The 16,785-nt window shown below is 39.7% G+C and overlaps 1 protein-coding gene across 15 annotated transcripts in view, besides 1 other annotated feature; it reads left to right on the forward strand.

The window, feature by feature from the left end:
• Positions 1–16,785, forward strand: part of ST6GALNAC3 (ST6 N-acetylgalactosaminide alpha-2,6-sialyltransferase 3) — a 562,594-nt gene that overhangs the window by 204,650 nt on the left and 341,159 nt on the right. Inside the window, exon 1 of one of the 15 annotated variants that reach the window (XM_017000939.2) lies at positions 683–15,290. The exons of 12 other annotated variants lie outside the window; for them this stretch is intronic. In XM_017000939.2, the coding sequence (XP_016856428.1) occupies positions 15,219–15,290 (72 nt within the window). In that variant the 5' untranslated portion in view covers positions 683–15,218. Of the gene's footprint in view, positions 1–682; positions 15,291–15,324; positions 16,420–16,785 lie in introns of those variants that run through there. 2 more of the 15 variants (XM_017000937.3, XM_017000941.3) reach the window with 2 other exon arrangements.
• Positions 129–628: an enhancer, noted in NCBI's record as "H3K27ac hESC enhancer chr1:76745209-76745708 (GRCh37/hg19 assembly coordinates)". NCBI's record gives its function as "activates a minimal SCP1, AML or CMV promoter by ChIP-STARR-seq in primed H9 embryonic stem cells {active_cell/tissue: H9 hESC(primed)}" and the evidence as "EXISTENCE:reporter gene assay evidence [ECO:0000049][PMID:30033119]".

The following is a 16,785-nucleotide window of genomic DNA, read 5'->3' on the forward strand; positions in this document are numbered from 1 at the left end:
TCGCCATCTGTGATCCTCAGGGGTGGAATCTTTTGCTGGAAGACACAGTTATTATCAATCAACCTGTGCTAGCCAACAGGCCTCCAGAGCTTCGCGGGTGGGGGGAATGTTGTTACAGAAGAAACGGGAAAGAGGAGCCTTTGTGGGAAAGGGTGGTTAGTATTCTTGATGGCTTGTCAGAGGCAGTAGTGGCCATAATCACGTGAGTGCAGCACTTGAGCTGGTTCAGAGCTGCAGTGCCTGGAGTCGTGTCTGCCGGCAGCTGCCGGAGGCGGAAGTGGCGTCCATGGTAGCCACTTCGTCAGGAGGGCTCCTCAGGTTTTAGAGCCAGAGCACAACTGTGACTCCTATACCAGGCACACTGGACCTCAGGAGCCTTGCTGGAGTCTCCTCAGAATTCACAAAAGAAATATGAAGAATTAGGAAGAAAGTTAAAACTTAGTAGAGATCCTCTTTATAGATGCAACTTGAGAAACAGCGCACAGATATAGGTTACTCGACTGGAGGAGTTCTGTGTTTGTGTTTTCCTATTATAAAGAGTTCGGGAGAAAGTGGGGTGCTTGCTAACCATTGGTTCTCTCTCCTGTCTCTCTCCTGTCTTTTCTCTCATCTTGCCCTTTCTCTTTTGCCATTGCCCCTTTTCTCATTTTTCGTTCTCTTATTTGTTCTTTCCTTCTCCCTCCACTTCTCCTTCGCCTTTTCTCTCTTGCTTCTTTCTCTGCTTCACTTCATTCTCCCTGTTCTGTCCTCTCTTCCAGTCGCCCTTTTTTCCAACCCACCCTTTGCTATGTTCTGAATTAGTGATTGCCTAAGTGGAAAGATGGAGACAGTTTCAGAAATCCTATTTATTTTAGTTCATCAGTTGTTACTGCTTACTTTTTGTTTGAATATATTTGGGGTATATTCTCAAAAATATGTTGATAATGGAGTACAGAAATTCTGGTGACTGTTACTCTCCAATGTCTCTCTTTTCTTCCTAGAACTAACTACTAGTCCTTTCCAGTTCGGGTAGATGGATTATATTTCTTGCATAGTACTTTCAGCATTTATCATTTTTGGTAAATGAATACCTAATGTGCCGCTAGGGAAGCTAAATTCATACCTATTTCAGCTGGGGTGAGCACTGTGACCTTCTGTTACACATACCTATTGCTGCCACCAGAGACAGAAGATTGAGTTGGATGCACTATGGGTAGAGACAAGGGCTGGTGCTACTTACTTATCAGAAAGGATTCTTGTAAGAATTAAATGAAATAATGGGCATAGAATTTAGAATTAAATAATGTTATGTGCATGGTATGCTACAAAGATTTGGATTCAGACCTCTTTACAAATCTCAGATTCGTCATTTACTAGCATGCAAACTTGGGCAAGTCACTTTATTCTACTTGAACCTTTTCTTTTCTATAAAATGAGGTCAATAAATAATATTCATTTACAAATTGATCATCAAGGCAAATGAGATAATACATGAAATCTCCTAAAATAGAGTAGATGCTCACTGAATATCACCTTACTTCCCTCCACCCAACTATGCATTTATTTATCTGTCAAACATTTATATTATGCTCACTTTATGCCATGCACTGTTCTAAGAGCTTTATAAATTTAACTCTTCAATATCATCATAGTCTTTTGAGTACTTACTATTACTATCTCGTTTTGCAGATTGGTAAGCTGAAGCAAAGGAGGTTTAATAACTTGTTTAAAGCCTCATGGATAGTAAGTAGCAGAGCCACTAACTGATATTTTTGTGCCGACACCTTAATTCAAGCTTTTTTCTCCTTTAACTGAAGATATTATTGCCCTGAGATATTACCTTGAAATCGATATAGATTTTTTTCTTGAGTTTGCAAATTTTCTCTCTTAGAAGGCCTGAGGAAAAAATAACATTAAACAAATGCACACTTAATTATGAGTTCATTTTCTGTGTTAATGTAGTAAAGAGGTGAATGAATGTCATAAAATATACTCTCATTTGGTTCCACCCTGAGAGAGCCGTTGGATTGCAGCCCCAGTGCTTTTCAGCAGGGAAGCTGGCCAGAGATGCCTGCAGCCTGCTGGGGAGTGTGTGGGTAGCTCCTCCAGCAGTGTGCCTGCACTCCTCATCTGCACAGAGCATGCACAGTGTTCAAAGGCACACAGATGGGGACTCAAGTGGGGCCAAGATCACTGGGAAGAGTGTCGGAAAATGAAACCTGGCCAACAGACAGCACCCTTCTGTTTAATCAGAATGCTGGAGCCAGGTCCAGAGAATAATGACTACAAACTGGCTGTGCCTTGGGCCTATTCAGCATCTTGTTCTCATTTTCAAGTGTTTGGTCCTTGGGAAGGTCTCAAAGTTCACTTTGCTACTCGATTATGCTGCCTATTGAGGAATTTTCAAGGCAAAGTGAATTCATGTGACCTGGATTCATTATTATTTAAGATTATTAACACATTTTTAGACCGAATTGGCAGTAAGGAAAGGGAGGAAGGAAACATCTATTGAGGTCATACCAGGTGCTGGGTGCTGTAGTGGGCACTTCTATGCATGTTAGCTCAACTGACGATACCAGAGAAGTGGAAATTACTTCAGATTGTCATGAAAAAGACAAATGGAGAAGGTGGGATGCATGAAAAATAGACTTTTAAAATTCCTAAATCAATGCCCTCAAGTCATCTAAAATGATTAGAAACAGTCTATAGTTGTCTTTTATGAGGAGACAAGAATTATATGTGTTCCTTGTTTTTTTCTCCTTCTGCTTGCTGAAGAGTTCTGGTTTCACTTGTCTAGTCCTTTTCCTTCCCTTTGTCCTGCCTTGAGAGACTGGTTATATTAAGCTTTTGTGAGGAATTTCAGGTGAGAGGGAATGGAGGAAGAAAAAAGAGACTTAGGGACACATATTCATACCCATGTGTGTATGTGTATTTATGTGATATATGTATAATTTTATATATGTGATAAATACATACACATTACAAATGCAATTATACTATACTTAATCTTTCATATGTTTTAAATCCTTCAAGTTTATTATGAACATCTCCCCATGTCAACACATTTAAAACCACAGTATCATTATTAATATTGCCTAAAACTCTATACTCAGTATATGTCAATACTTGATTATTGGATATTTAGGTAGTTTCCAGTTTTAGTTTTATCAATAGTGCAGCAGTGACATCTGAACAAAGTCATTTAAAATGGCACCAGTTACTGTTTCTCAGGGATCAGCTTTATTGTGATTTTTCTTAAATTAGAGGAATCGCCTATATGTTCAAACTAATTTTTTAGATTACTAGAAATATTCTTGTAACAATGTCTTATGGAGAACCCACTGTATAAAACCCATAGAAGTGTACTTCCCCAGCCAGATGCAGTGGCTCACACTTGTAATCCCAGCACTTTGGGAGGCCAAGGCAGGTGGATCACTTGAGGTCAGGAGTTCCAGACCAGCCTGGCCAACATGGTGACATCCCATCTCTACTAAAAAAAAAAAAAAATTCAAAAATTAGTTGGGCCTGGTGGCACACACCTGTAATCCCAGCTACTTGGGAGGCTGAGGCAGAAGAATTGCTTGAGCCCGGGAGGTGGAGGTTGCAGTAAGCTGAGATCAAGATCACGCCACTGCACTCCAGCCTGGGCGACAGAGCTAGACTGCCTCAAAAAGAAAAAAAAAAGTGGTACTTTCCTCCATGGGTTGCCTCCTGCCCCTGAACGCCCCCATCCCTCAGTGACCTCTGAGCTTCCACAGTACCCAAGAGTGCTCCGGAACAATGGTAAGACCACTGAGCTAGGAACTAGCTTTGTTTTGTTTGTTTGTTTGTTTCTATATTATTATTTGTTGATGTTACAGAGTATAGAAAATTGGCTTTTTTTCTTTAAAAGAAGAAACTATGTTTTCTTTTTTTAAAACAACTCACATTGAGCTTTGCTATACTACTTTGTTACCTGAATTGGTAATGGTTTTCTTTTTTTCTATGTTATAATAGAATCTTTATATTTAAATAAACTTAAATACTTTCAGGCGCTGTGGTCTAGAGCTCACTGAAAGTGTTATGTGTACATGAGCAGGACCCTCAAGAGCCAACCTGTGTTTTTTGTCTCATTAACTTGGAGGAAGGCATGAGGGGTCAGGGCCTACAATATCACTTGGAAACAAGGAATATAAAGAAAATCTGGCCTGTTTGGTAAAACTGTGCTTCTCCATGTCTTGCCTCTTTTGATCTCTTGCCTAAGTTTTGTTTTGAAAGGTTAACACTATTCATCTTGTCATGACTTTAAATAATCAGATTACTTTTCTATGCAACAATGCTCTGTTTTTCCTAAGTTTCCTATTTCTTCAGTGATTCTGGGGTGGGATGGAGAGTGAATAGAAATACAGGCATCAACTTTAGTGTTTTCATTGCAATTGTTTTATTTGTGCCCCTCAAGTTGAACCTCTCTGAATGAGTGTGATCATATATCTCACATACTTGGTGTTTTTTCTTCAGATGTTGGGATTCAAATTGTTTGGAAATTTCACATGTTGTAAACCTAACTTAGTGACATCATGTGACCATGTATAAGGGAACCTTTATCATTATGTTATTAGGAACCTGATCTCTTTGTCATTCATCTATTTTTTGCCCTGGCTTGTTGGGATTGGATCAAACCAATGGAAATGCCGGAGAACTGAGTTAGAAATGCATAGGATGTTAAAAGAACAGAAATTTATGCTTTAAAGTATTACTACTATTAGATTTGTAAGTTTAATTTTTTTTCCTCTGGTGTTAAATAAATTGCTCAAAGATCTCTGACACCAGAAGGAAATTAGAAGGTAAATGTATGTTGATAACACAGAAGGATCAGAGAGGGAAATCCACTAGCAAATAAAAGAAAATAGGAAGAGTAAGTAAGTACATCATTGTAAGCAAAAACTGACAAAAAGGAAAGTTTGAAGCCAGAAACAGTCAAAAAGTTCTTCTAAAAGTAAGAAAATGTTTATGAGGGGCACATTGGACATATTTTCTATTCTATTGGGGTCTGGAGAGATAGGCAAGTATGAATGAACAGGTGGAATTTAGTTGTTTTCCAAAACTTGAACAAACAAGAAAGGGTATTTTGGGGTCCAATTAGCAACATTAAGATAAATTTTATATACTGGCTTCCTGGGATTTGTGCCTTCAATTTACAAGTTTTGCTGATAAAGAAGAAAATCAATTTTATTTTATTCTATTTCCCAGGGAGATAGCAAAATGCTTGAGGATTTTTTTTGCAAGAGACTTTTTAATTAGGACTATTATAGAAATGAGTTAAACAGCCAAATATCAAACCTGAAACGATCTCCTGAGGCAAGAGTGTACATGATCATTAGGTTTGGAGGCAAACTATTGTTAAGGATTCTCATATAAGGTATCTTAGTCTCCACAAGCAAAGGTGATCAAATCCAGTTGAACTTGCTTCACACCATATGCCATTGTCCTTCAGTCCCCCAAGCAGACAAATCAAGCTTGATTACATATGAGATACCAAGGCATCCAGAGAAATGATAGTGGGTGTAAGTCATGCCACAATAGGGTGTGGATAGGTGTTTCTGGATACGGAGATAGATGGCCACACAATCCTGCTGCCTTCACCCAGCCAGCTCTCAGCTTAAGAGAGGTAGGAAATGAGGCAAGGAAAGGAAGATCTGAGCCCTTCCTGGAGCTCAGCTGCATCCTGAGGCAGATGTTTAATGGACTAGAAATGATCACATAGAGAATTCCTTGTGTCTAACCTAGAACTAAAGCCTGTGAGAACACACTCTTAATTTATTTCCATACTGAAGCCCTAACCAGAAGCTTAGATCTTTGCATTCCAACATAAGAAAGAGACAGGGGTTACCAAACTAATCTGTGAGAAGTAAAAGAATGTGTGAAAAAAATAACATGAGCCCCAGAGTCTAGAGCAGAAGTGGATAAGATGACCTTACCTATAGTCTTCTAAGCTGAGACAACAGGAGGCCAGGCCCCTGGTCGGGAGGATGGTGTGTGTGTGTGTGTGTGTGTGTGTACATGTGTGTGTAATGTGACTTACCCATTAGGCACCATAGGTGCGGTGCCTTGGGGCCGTGGCAGTTTTAGGGCTCCACAAAAATGTTTTAATCTTTTTTAAAATCAAGAATAAAAAATGAATCTAATAAAAATAATGAATATTTATTAATGAATTCAGCATAGATTATATAAACTTGCCTTATGCCAATGTAGTCCTAAAATATGTTTTCATATTTTTTTCTATAGAGGAAGGTACTCATGAGGGCAGAAGTGACTAGGGCCAAAAAAGTCATTGTGCAGCTCTGACAGATTGAATGACCATGAGAGAGACACAGAATGACAACCTCCTGATAGATAGATGCAGAGAGATTGGCAGAGAGGAACAGAGACAGAACAGCGAGAAACAGATACAGGAAGATACATGCAGAGTGAGAAACAGGGACAGAGAGACAGAGGGAGATGAAAACAGACACACATGCCCACACACAAAGAGAGAAACAGGCAGACACACACCCCCGCGCCCCCTCCCCCATCTGGACCCGCCCCACCAACATCCTGACAGATACAGGAAGGCAGAGAGAATGAGACAGATGGAGACACAGGAAAGACATGCAGAACTAGACTGACAGCCATAGGCTAAGATGTCACAGGGAACATTCTACTGGAAGGAGGCAGCCATCAGCTTGGTCTTACTTGTTTCAGCCTCCCAGGATCAAATATGTCTGAAGAGTAACAGGCCTTTCCATCCACTCTTTATTTTTAGCCACAGAGGAAACAGTAAGAGAGAAGAGGGCAGATGCTTCTGTTTACCAGGATTTTAATTGGCTACCTTTGGAGCCTGTGGGCCTAAGCTATGACTATTGTCTAGAAGCTTTGGGAGAAAGGTAAAACCACAGTGTAAAATCACAGTGGAAGCTTGGAGCTGAAATGATTATTGTATCTTCTCTAACCTTATACCCAGTAATGATGTGTTTGTAAGGCCAGTGGTCCAATTTTTTCTGCAGAGTGAACAAACCAGTGGCTCCCCCACTACCTCCATAGAGATGTTTTAACACAGACACATTCTAAACAGCAAACTACATCGGACGCCAGTCTCCTATAAATGCTAGAGAGTAGGCCTCCTCCTGGCCTTTATTTTTCCATGTTCCTGGATATATGAGAGTCTCAAGAGGGAGGTTTGATGCCAACCCCTGCCCTTGACCTTGGGCAACCTTCTTCCCCTTTGTGGGTGGAATGAGGTGCCATGACTTGTTGCTTTTATTCACAAAGTGCCTCACTTGTTTATATGAAGCCACCGGCCTCATGGCCATGCCTCAGCCAAACCAACTGGGAATTATGAAGATTGGTTTGAGGCAGGAAGTGTCCTGGCTCTAGACCTAGGACAGCTGCTTTGATTGTGAGTGCACCAGGAAAGTGGGACAATTGAAGCATGAGGACCTTGTCATTTAATTGAAAGTCACAGAGTTCCTTTTCACCTGTGTCATCTCTGGAAAACTGGAGAGAGATGATCTATACAAGACCCAGTAAGATACACACCATTTAAAATGCCCTACAAGAAGTCACAGTGAAATGAAATAATTTACACCAAAAGGTGTATGTTCTTCAATCTTCTCTGAATTCTGGACTTCTGATCTTGCCAGAGATAGTTGTTAGAAGAAATTGATGATAACTTTTTTAAAAAGAAACAAGTTTTAAAACTAGAACTAGCTCAGCCTTCCCTTCATTCAAGGTTGGATAAGCAGTAGTCAGTGAGAACTTGGGAAAATAGTCTTGAAGAGGAACTGTGTTCACATGTCCTTAGTCATGAAAATCATTTTTAGGTGAAGTGATTTCTCATTTTGCACAAATGATTATAGAGTGTGTCTGTTTGTGAACTTGGTCATAATTGCTGCCCAACATCATTATGGCGATAATTTGTTTAGCTAAGAGAATAAGAGCAGTTGAAGTTATTTTTAAGTTTGCATTTTGTCAGTTGTAGGTTTTCTTTTTTCTTCCTTTTTTTTTTTTTTTTTGCATTTGATGGCACCAGCTGAGTGTGGGATGGTGCACAAATCCCCTCAGAAATGGAGTTATTTGGTCACAGTAAACTGAAGCCTCTCCCCAACCGCCAAGATAACAGCAATTACTTTGGATTCATTTTAGTAGGTGTGAAAAGCTCATCTGTTTAAAAGATGAGTACTCTGGTTTATATAGGATCCTCTGGTAGCAGCAGGTTAATTAAAGAATGATTCTATCATCCCTAGCCTAAATCGCAGGCATTATAAAAGCCAGCCTGCTTTATGACTGTCATGTGAGAAATGTGCACACTGATACCCCAGAATTTGAGCATTGTTAAAAGTTAGTCCATTGGGTGTGTTTGTTCTTCACATTATCCAGAGCATCTGCCAGTTTCTTCTTTCTTGATTATATGCACCTTTGCAAACAATAGTACAGTTAGCAACACTCTTCTAAGTGTGCCACATTTAATTTGGGGTGAGAATACAGCTTTAATTCCATTTTACAGATGAAGAAATGGAGGCACAAAGTTGTTAAGTACCTTTGTCCAAGGTCCTAGAGTTTGTGAGCAGCAGAAGGGGTTTAGCAATCAGCCTGCCTTGGGAGCCATGTGCTTATTACCTACAATTCACTGCCCAACTGAGAAGTAGCATGGGAGATCACCTCTCCCACTCATCTTTGAGATGCTGATTCATTATTTGACTAAGAGGCCAGACTCTTCTGCTTACCAGGATTTTAATTGGCTACCTTTGGAGCCTGTGGGCCTAAGGTATGACTGTTGTCTAGAAGCTTTGGGAGAAAGGTGAAATCACTGTAAAATCACAGCGGAAGCTTGGTGCTGAAATGATTATTGTATCTTCTCCAACCTTATACCCAGTAACGATGTGTTTGTAAGTCCAATTTTGTGTTTGTGGTCCAATTTTTTCCTGCAGAGTGAAAAAAATAATGGCTCCCCCACCACCTTGATATGGATGTTTTAACACTACACATTCTAGACAGCAAACTACATCAGAGACCAGTCTCCTCATCCCTGGAGGCATCACACTGTGTGCTGGGCTCTGGACAAAGTAACTAGAAGTATAAGTTCTAAGCAGTCCTCACCACTAAGTAACTTGTGGTATAAGAGAGGGAATGGCACACATAATTGTCAAGTCAACCCTTACTGCAAAGAAGTTCAGATGGGTGGTGCAAGCAGTAACTGCTGTGGAAGCTCAGATGAGGAAGAAAACAGGTCTGGCTGAATGGTATGGGTCTCCAAGAAGAGGGCAGGATGTGTGCTTGTCTGAGTTTGGGGATAAGATTCAATTTTATTCTAAAAAAAATTGCACTTGGATGAATAGAGAGAAGAACATGCCATGTGCAGAGATGTGAGCAGGACTCTGTGAATGTAAAACACAGGTGATGGTCAGAGTCAGATGGGAGAGCTCTATTTTGGGAGTCCTGGATGAGAGGCTGAAAAGATACCCACCGACCCATGCTCTATTATAGCGAGCAGAAAAATGAACACATTGTGGTTTGCTCATTTCATATATGAAAGTGTGGGGCTCAAAAATCTGATTACTGTGTATGTCACGTAGAACCACACTTCCCCCTCCAAAGTACGTCTCATGCCATTGTATATTCACATCTTGTCTAAGAAGAAACTGTATCTCTAAGTGCCATAAACTCCAATAAAAGCAGGTTTGTTCTTTCCTCCCACTTGTGTTCCTGAAACCTATGTTTATAGGACCTTATGTTACTTACACTTTGGTGTGTTACCTTTAATCTCAACCTCTATTTGCTACAAACACCACTGAAAGGTGACAGTTTCATGTGGGATAAACTCTATTGATCTCTGTCTGTAAGGCAAGATGTTTTTCTCAAGCATTTTTGGGCACATTTTCTCTGAGAGGTAGCATAGGGCAGTGGTCATGAGCATAGATGGAAGTCAGACTGTCTGGGTTCTGATCCCAGCCCTGGCACTTATTGCTAGGCAACCTATGGTATGTACTTAACTTCTCTGTGCTTCCGATTACTCATGTTTTTAAAGATTAAATTCAGGCACCATGCTTTAAGAAGCACCTGGCACATAGTATGGAATAGTTAGCTTACATCATGGGTTCCCAGCAGGGGTGATAGCACCCTCAAGGGGGCAAAAAGTTTAAATTCAGGAATGGTTTCATTAGGAAAACATTTGCTTAGTGAGGCTTCTTGTGGGGCTGAGGGGTAAGAGGGATGAGTGGAGAGGAAAAAAGTGGTCCAGAAACCCCTGGGTTGCACCAACCCCATTAAGTTGGACCTGATGAAGCATTGATAGAAGGAATCCCAAAAGAGGTTTACATGTTGTACTTGGAGGCCCGTAACCAATAGAGGGTTTAATCAACAGGCTTTTTACCTAGGGCCTGATGTAGGCTCCGCCTTAAGGCCATCACATTCACTGCTTGGTTATGTGCACAGGGAGGGAACCAGTGGAAGCCCAACCCCCCTTCCACAGGGTTCTTGAAGCTAGTCATGAAGGGAACAGAGGGAGGAGGGAATGAGTTGCTTTGCCTGCCTTGCCTGAGGTGGAAATGGCTGTGATAGATGTGGTGTGACCTGGGCAGAGTGAATAGTAAAAGTTCACATCTACCCAGGATTTTCTGTTTTTCAGAGTAGTTTCACACTCATTATCTCACAAGCACTCTTTCTCTTTTGAAATAGTTTTTAGTTACACATGTAGTAAAGAAATGCATTCCTTTGTAAGAAATTGAAGTATTACTGATAAAAGTAAAAATGCCCCATGAGCCACATCTGGTTCCAGTTCCCTGCTCCCTCCACAGGATTAACCCCTGTTAGCACTGTGTGTGTCCAGCACTTGTTTCTATTCATTTATGCTCAGGTAAGACTATTTTAAAAAGTACACTATTGCTGTGTAGATCCTTTAACACTAAGGATATCAAACTATATGTAATTTTCTACTTCAAGCTTTTTTTAAAATCATAATATGTCTTGGAGATGGTTCCATAATAAAACATTCAGATCTACCTCACTCCTTTCAATGACTGCATGCCCATGGAATGAATACCTCATTATTTATTTAGCCATCTTACTTTCTGGTAAATACTGATATTGTTTCTGTTTTGATTTTTTTAACCACAGCTACGAATGCCACCTCTTTGGGTATGTGGGTACGTGTCTACAGCTGCTCATTGAGGCAGATATTATCTTTACAGCAAAGGAGACTGAGGCTCAGAGAGGTGACACAGGCAGTGAATAGCATGTCCAGGACCAGAAGCCAGGTCTTTTTTGTTTTAAATCCAGGTTTGATGGATTTTCTTCCCTCATTCCACAGCTACCTCCCACCCTTATCTCATACTGGGACATTTGCATTTGGCAACTGATTTCCTAGCAGTAACATCCCTGGGGTGGCCCTACATGTCGCTGCTCCTTTTCTCACTGTAGATGATGGATCAGCTGCTGTGTGTCCCTGAAGGAAGGCAGCTTTCAGGAGGTGGACAGCTGTGTGTGAATAAAACAGGGGAGGAGGGGATCCACACATACCTGTCCTGACCTATTTACCGAGCGAGCTGTTGAGCCAAAGCAGCACCGTGTTATCTAACCACAGCTAAAATTTGAAAGGTCCAACTGAGAAATGTCAGGAGGAAGTAACACTTGAATTATTAAGGAAGTAGGTACTAAAGGAGATGGAGAAGAATAACCTATGAAACCGGCTTGTTTTGAGCAGGAAAGGAGGAGATGGATGTTCTAAGTGACCGCCATAACTTGAAAATAAAGTGGTTCCTGGGGCCTACTAAATGTTTAAATTTCAGAGAATCCAAGCTTCTTTTTGATGAGCCTTCTTCAGTATTTTACAACGGCATATCGAAAGGGTTTCTTAATTAAAATCCCCAGCACGTTGGAGGGGCGGGCTGATTGAGGCTGCAGTGCCTGCAGGCAGGGTGCCCACCTCCATCAGCCACGCCAGCCGAAGGGGCATCCTGCAGCTCCTCTGTCAGAGGGATTCCTGCCGGAGCACCTCCTGGCAGAGAGCATGAGGCCCGGCCAATTCAATGTGGCCTCGCTGCCCCAGCCCAGCCGGGACACTCCCCAGGACCCAATTAGCAGATTGGAAATCGCATCCAAGTATGTTACAATCACCAAGTTAAAGAGGAATAACAGACATGAAAGAATCAAGTGGGAAAAGAACATTTTGGATCCCGAAAGAGCAGGCTGCTTGTCGGAGTTCTAACGAACCGAAACAAAATAAGTAGTAGCTCCTTAAGCCTCTTTTCTAACACTGCTGGGATTGGTTAGTGTAGAGAAAAGCATTGAAATTGCAAAAGAAAAAAATGCTTATTGTTCCTATGTTCAATTTGTTATTTAATATAACTTGTTTTTTAGGAATTTAATAAAAAAAAAGGGAGGGCATCATTAATTTTACATTCTGCAAGAAAATGAAAAATGATCTGCTGATTAGTGATGTGCAATTTGTTCCTTGAACATCTCCAGTAATGTGTGAATGTCACATTACATAACACTTATAATGATTAAACCAGAAGATGAAATAAGATAGGATAGATCTTGTGTTCTTTCCTTGACTGGTGGACAACTCATCTCATTAATCTCTCTTTGGCTTGCAGCCTTAAATTGAATAAGCCGTGTTACTGGGGGAGATTTATGGCCAAAAGACTTAGCAGCCTCACTGAGGAAATCTTATAGCACCATTTTGAGAGCTCTCCAAGATAATTCTTGGGATTTGTATTAATTGTAGCTTGTCATAAAACATTGCCCAAACCAGAAATGAGCAATGAACCTTCTCAGGAACTTAATATTACAGCAACATTGAAAATATGCACTTCTTGATGTTCCATCTCATGAGATGTTAAAACATTCTGAGTCCCAATTTAAAATTATTATATTAGAAATGGTAGCTTCAGTAGAGTGGGAAATGATAGCTTCAGTAGAGTGGGAAATGATACACTGATACACCTGGGCACTGAGGAATGTTTGTAGAAAACCAGTGGGCTTTCAATATCACAAGGGCAGTCCTTCGCAGAGCAGTGAGCAGGATGTCCCTATGAAATGTTTGTAGAAAGAATGAACCAACTGGTAACCATGAGTCCTCTTTTTAAAATATAAGTTCTCTTTGTGGTTGAATTTCTGACACTTGGTGTATAAGTACCAGTAAGTAAGATTGGCTTACTTGTTGCAATTTTTAAAGGAAGTGCCTTGCCACAGCCAGAACCAGTGGCCTGGAACTAAAGTTGAAAAGAGGTTAGATTTAATAAGTCATCCAATATATACAAGATTTCCCTTTAGCAGTCATCAGTAAGCCTTGCTTGATGACTTATTCCATTTGGGGTGTTCACTTCCTCTCACCGTAGCATGTTTATTACTGGACTCTGGGCTCCTTGAATGCGATTCTGTGCCCTTTTCTGTAGCCCCACATGTCAGTTATGCACAGGACACACTAAATGCTCAACAAACACTTTCTGATATATAAAACCAAAATTATTGTTTATATGAAGTCAAAATCTACCTCCTTGAACTTCCATTTGGTGGACCTAGTTCTATCTTCTGCACAAAAATAAACATGTCAACTCCCTCTTCCCTGTGAGTATTTTGAGGCTTAATCACTCCTCAAGTCTTCTCTGTGCCAGATTAATCCCTAGTTCCCTAAATTAATTATTTTCTTAAGCTGCCATGTCAATCATTTTGTGCTTCCTGGTCAACTAAAACCTCAGGTTTTTCTTAAGTAATATAAAGGAAACATTTCCCCTCATCTTTTATTGGAGTCATGTTTTCCTTTTAATCTTTTTAACTGAATCCTACTTACCATTTTCAATTTTAATGATACTGCTTAACCAATCTTTCTACCTTACTGAGAGTTTTTCAAATGCTGATTTTGCCAATAATGCTGTTACCATGGTGTTGTATCTTTTGCAGATTTGATCAACAGTACTGGCATCAGAAAAACACAGATGCTTTGGTAGGTGTCATCAGGGTCCTCATCTCTCCCTATGCTGGCATTGATCTATCACCTTATGTGATCTTTAGCCCCATACAAATTCTCATATGGCATTAGAAGTAACTTTAGAAAATATTAAATCCATTTGTCCTCTCTATTGATACTATACATGAGGAAACTGAGTCCCAAAGAGCCCATGGCCACATTACTGGTTAATAGAAACACTCATATTAGAACTAAGGTCCAAGTGACACCAAAGGCAGGTGTCCTTTCCTGTTTATCATAGCTGCCAGTCTTTATATTATTCACAAGGTCAATGCAAGAAACATTTAAACATCTCGTTGGAATCCCAACATATTGTGATAGGTTTCCTATTACGTGAGGGTTATGTACCACTGTCAATTAGAAGATAAAGCAAAGTGGTGGCCTTTTTTATCTCTTATTCTAAGATCTTCAGTAAAATTCCTTCTGTTTCTAAATATAAAGCTTTAAAACAGGCTATATTGATGTTGCGAAAGAACTGGTACATTATAAGTAGAAGTGTGTGTGTATGTGTGTGAGGGAGGGGTATACACATATGCACGTGCTTTATATCATAATTAAAGAGTGGAAGAAACAGGATTCTTTACTGGTCAATGAAAACTTTTCAGAGGAAGGCAAACTGGTCATTTATACAAAACCGTTTGTGGAGCATGTAGACTTCCTTTGCACTCACTAAGAAAGCACTCTTTTTAACGAGGGACTATACATTTGTTCAATGAAAAGAAAATAGCTCTTTGTACCTTGCTAACGGAATTGCTAACTATTCTTCAGATAGGAGTCTCATTGTTCCCACTATTCAGTATTTAAATACACATAATGTCATGTCTTTACTGCCATTAGTCAGTATTTTCAAAGAGCTCTTTTTATTAAATTTCTGAAACCCAGGACCAAAGAACACTTTCTCTTAGGTATATATTATTTGTTAGAATGGAAACAATCAATACATTTTCAGAGTCAAAAAGCACTGGGAAACAGTTTCTTTTTTGGTCTGAGCATATTTTTTATTAAAAAAAAAACCTTTGAAATATTTTGTTTTATCAGAATTGTTTGTAGGGAAAATGTAAACCTCACTATTGTTTAACTGCAGTCCAAAGAGGACTATCATATTGCACTTCTAATCAAAAAATAAATTGAACATAGTGGTAGGCTTACAGAAAGAGAGAGAATTAGATTTGATTAGATTAGCTTTAACCTGCCCGGAATAAAACTGTCTGCCTTTCCTGTTATTTGTCAGTGTTTATAGCGGGTTTCATCTACAATGCTTTCACTATTATTTCTGGGCGGTAAAAGGCAGTCAAGCAGAAAAGACACTCATAAATGTCAGAAAAGAGTAAGTTTTTTTTTGCATTTCAAGGGCTTTGAAGGTCAAGTTCAACCCACTTAACGGAAGCAGAGTGATGGGTATGTGGTAGCATGTTGTTAGCTGCTGCGTTTAGGCATATAATTTATGTGAAGTTAATGCACTTGTCCATCACTCTAAGAAAGCAAAAGGTCCTGGGAAGATTCTATTTATTTTATTCATTTTGTTCAACTTTTAGAAGGTAAAATAATTCAAATTTCCATAATTTGTGATGGAAAAGTCACATGTTTAACTTGTTAACAGCTGAGCAGGGTAGAGCACTGTAATACTTCCCTGACTCTTCCTGTTGTAATTTGTTTCTTCTTCTGAGCAGCTGCCCCACTCCATGCTGGGCAAAGGAAGAGCTCTGTTAAGCATTTTTGCAAACCAGTGGGCATTTTTTTTTTCCTCTGGAAGCCTTTATTGAGATGTTTTCTTTTTCTTTTTCTCTATGAGGCTTTATTTTTTCCCACCAGGGAGCCTGAGCAATTATAGTTTAAAGCTACCGAAGATAGGTATGTTCTTTGATATCAAAGAGCTTCTTGAAGATTTTTCAAACTAAAGAGACCCAAAGGTTGTATTTTAAGGTGTTACTAGCATGGCCCTTTGTAGTTGAAAACTCTCAGAATGTCTACCAAGTGTATTATGCTTTGTTTGGAAATGTTGGACCTCGGTACTATTGCATTTGGTAAAAGGCAGGGTGTTAGAATCTGTGTGTATGTGTGTTCCTACTGCTGCTCAGTGGAGTCTCTGTAGTTGCAAATTGTTTCCCTAGTGATGTAGGATGACTAGAGAGAGAATAGGGAGTAAGGAATAAAATCGACATTTATTGAGCACTCACTATGTGCTAGAGGCATAATGTATGTAGGGGATAGAAAATCTTATCTCTATTCTTTTGGTTTTGTTCCCACCTTGAATTGAATTGACATAGACAGATCAATGGGAGAAAAATGTATTTAATACAAATTTTAGGTGGCACAGGATCCTTCATGAGGAAATGAAGACCCAAAGACACAGTTATTGTTGAAGACTTACATACTGAACTGGAAAAGGAATAGTGAGCTGTGAAAAAGAAAATAATTATGTGGAGAGACTAGAAGATAAGACTTATTTTAACAAGGTTAGTACAGAATTTTCTTAGTCTCAGCTTCCTGTCCGTGATGATAAGAATGTTGCTTTCTTTCTACTATAGGGAGGGATCTTTCACATGAAATCCATAGGGGAATTTCACCTCCTGCTTTTGGGAAACAGATGGAGGGTCGGAGTGATCTTGCACCTCCTATTTTTTAAGTGCTTTTAGCTCAAAATAATTATGCCAAAGTAGCATATGTGGGGGTGGTGTGTTCTGAACGTTTTTATGCATCTTATTTCTTTCAATCCTCATTTACTCTGAGAAATGGCAGGTTACTATCCTCATGTTCCTGATTAGAGAATCAGAAAGGGAAAGTTTACTTGCCTTTGAGTCAAAACTGGTTTCTTTAACATC

Source organism: Homo sapiens, chromosome 1, assembly GCF_000001405.40.
Source record: "Homo sapiens chromosome 1, GRCh38.p14 Primary Assembly".
NCBI lineage: Eukaryota > Metazoa > Chordata > Mammalia > Primates > Hominidae > Homo > Homo sapiens.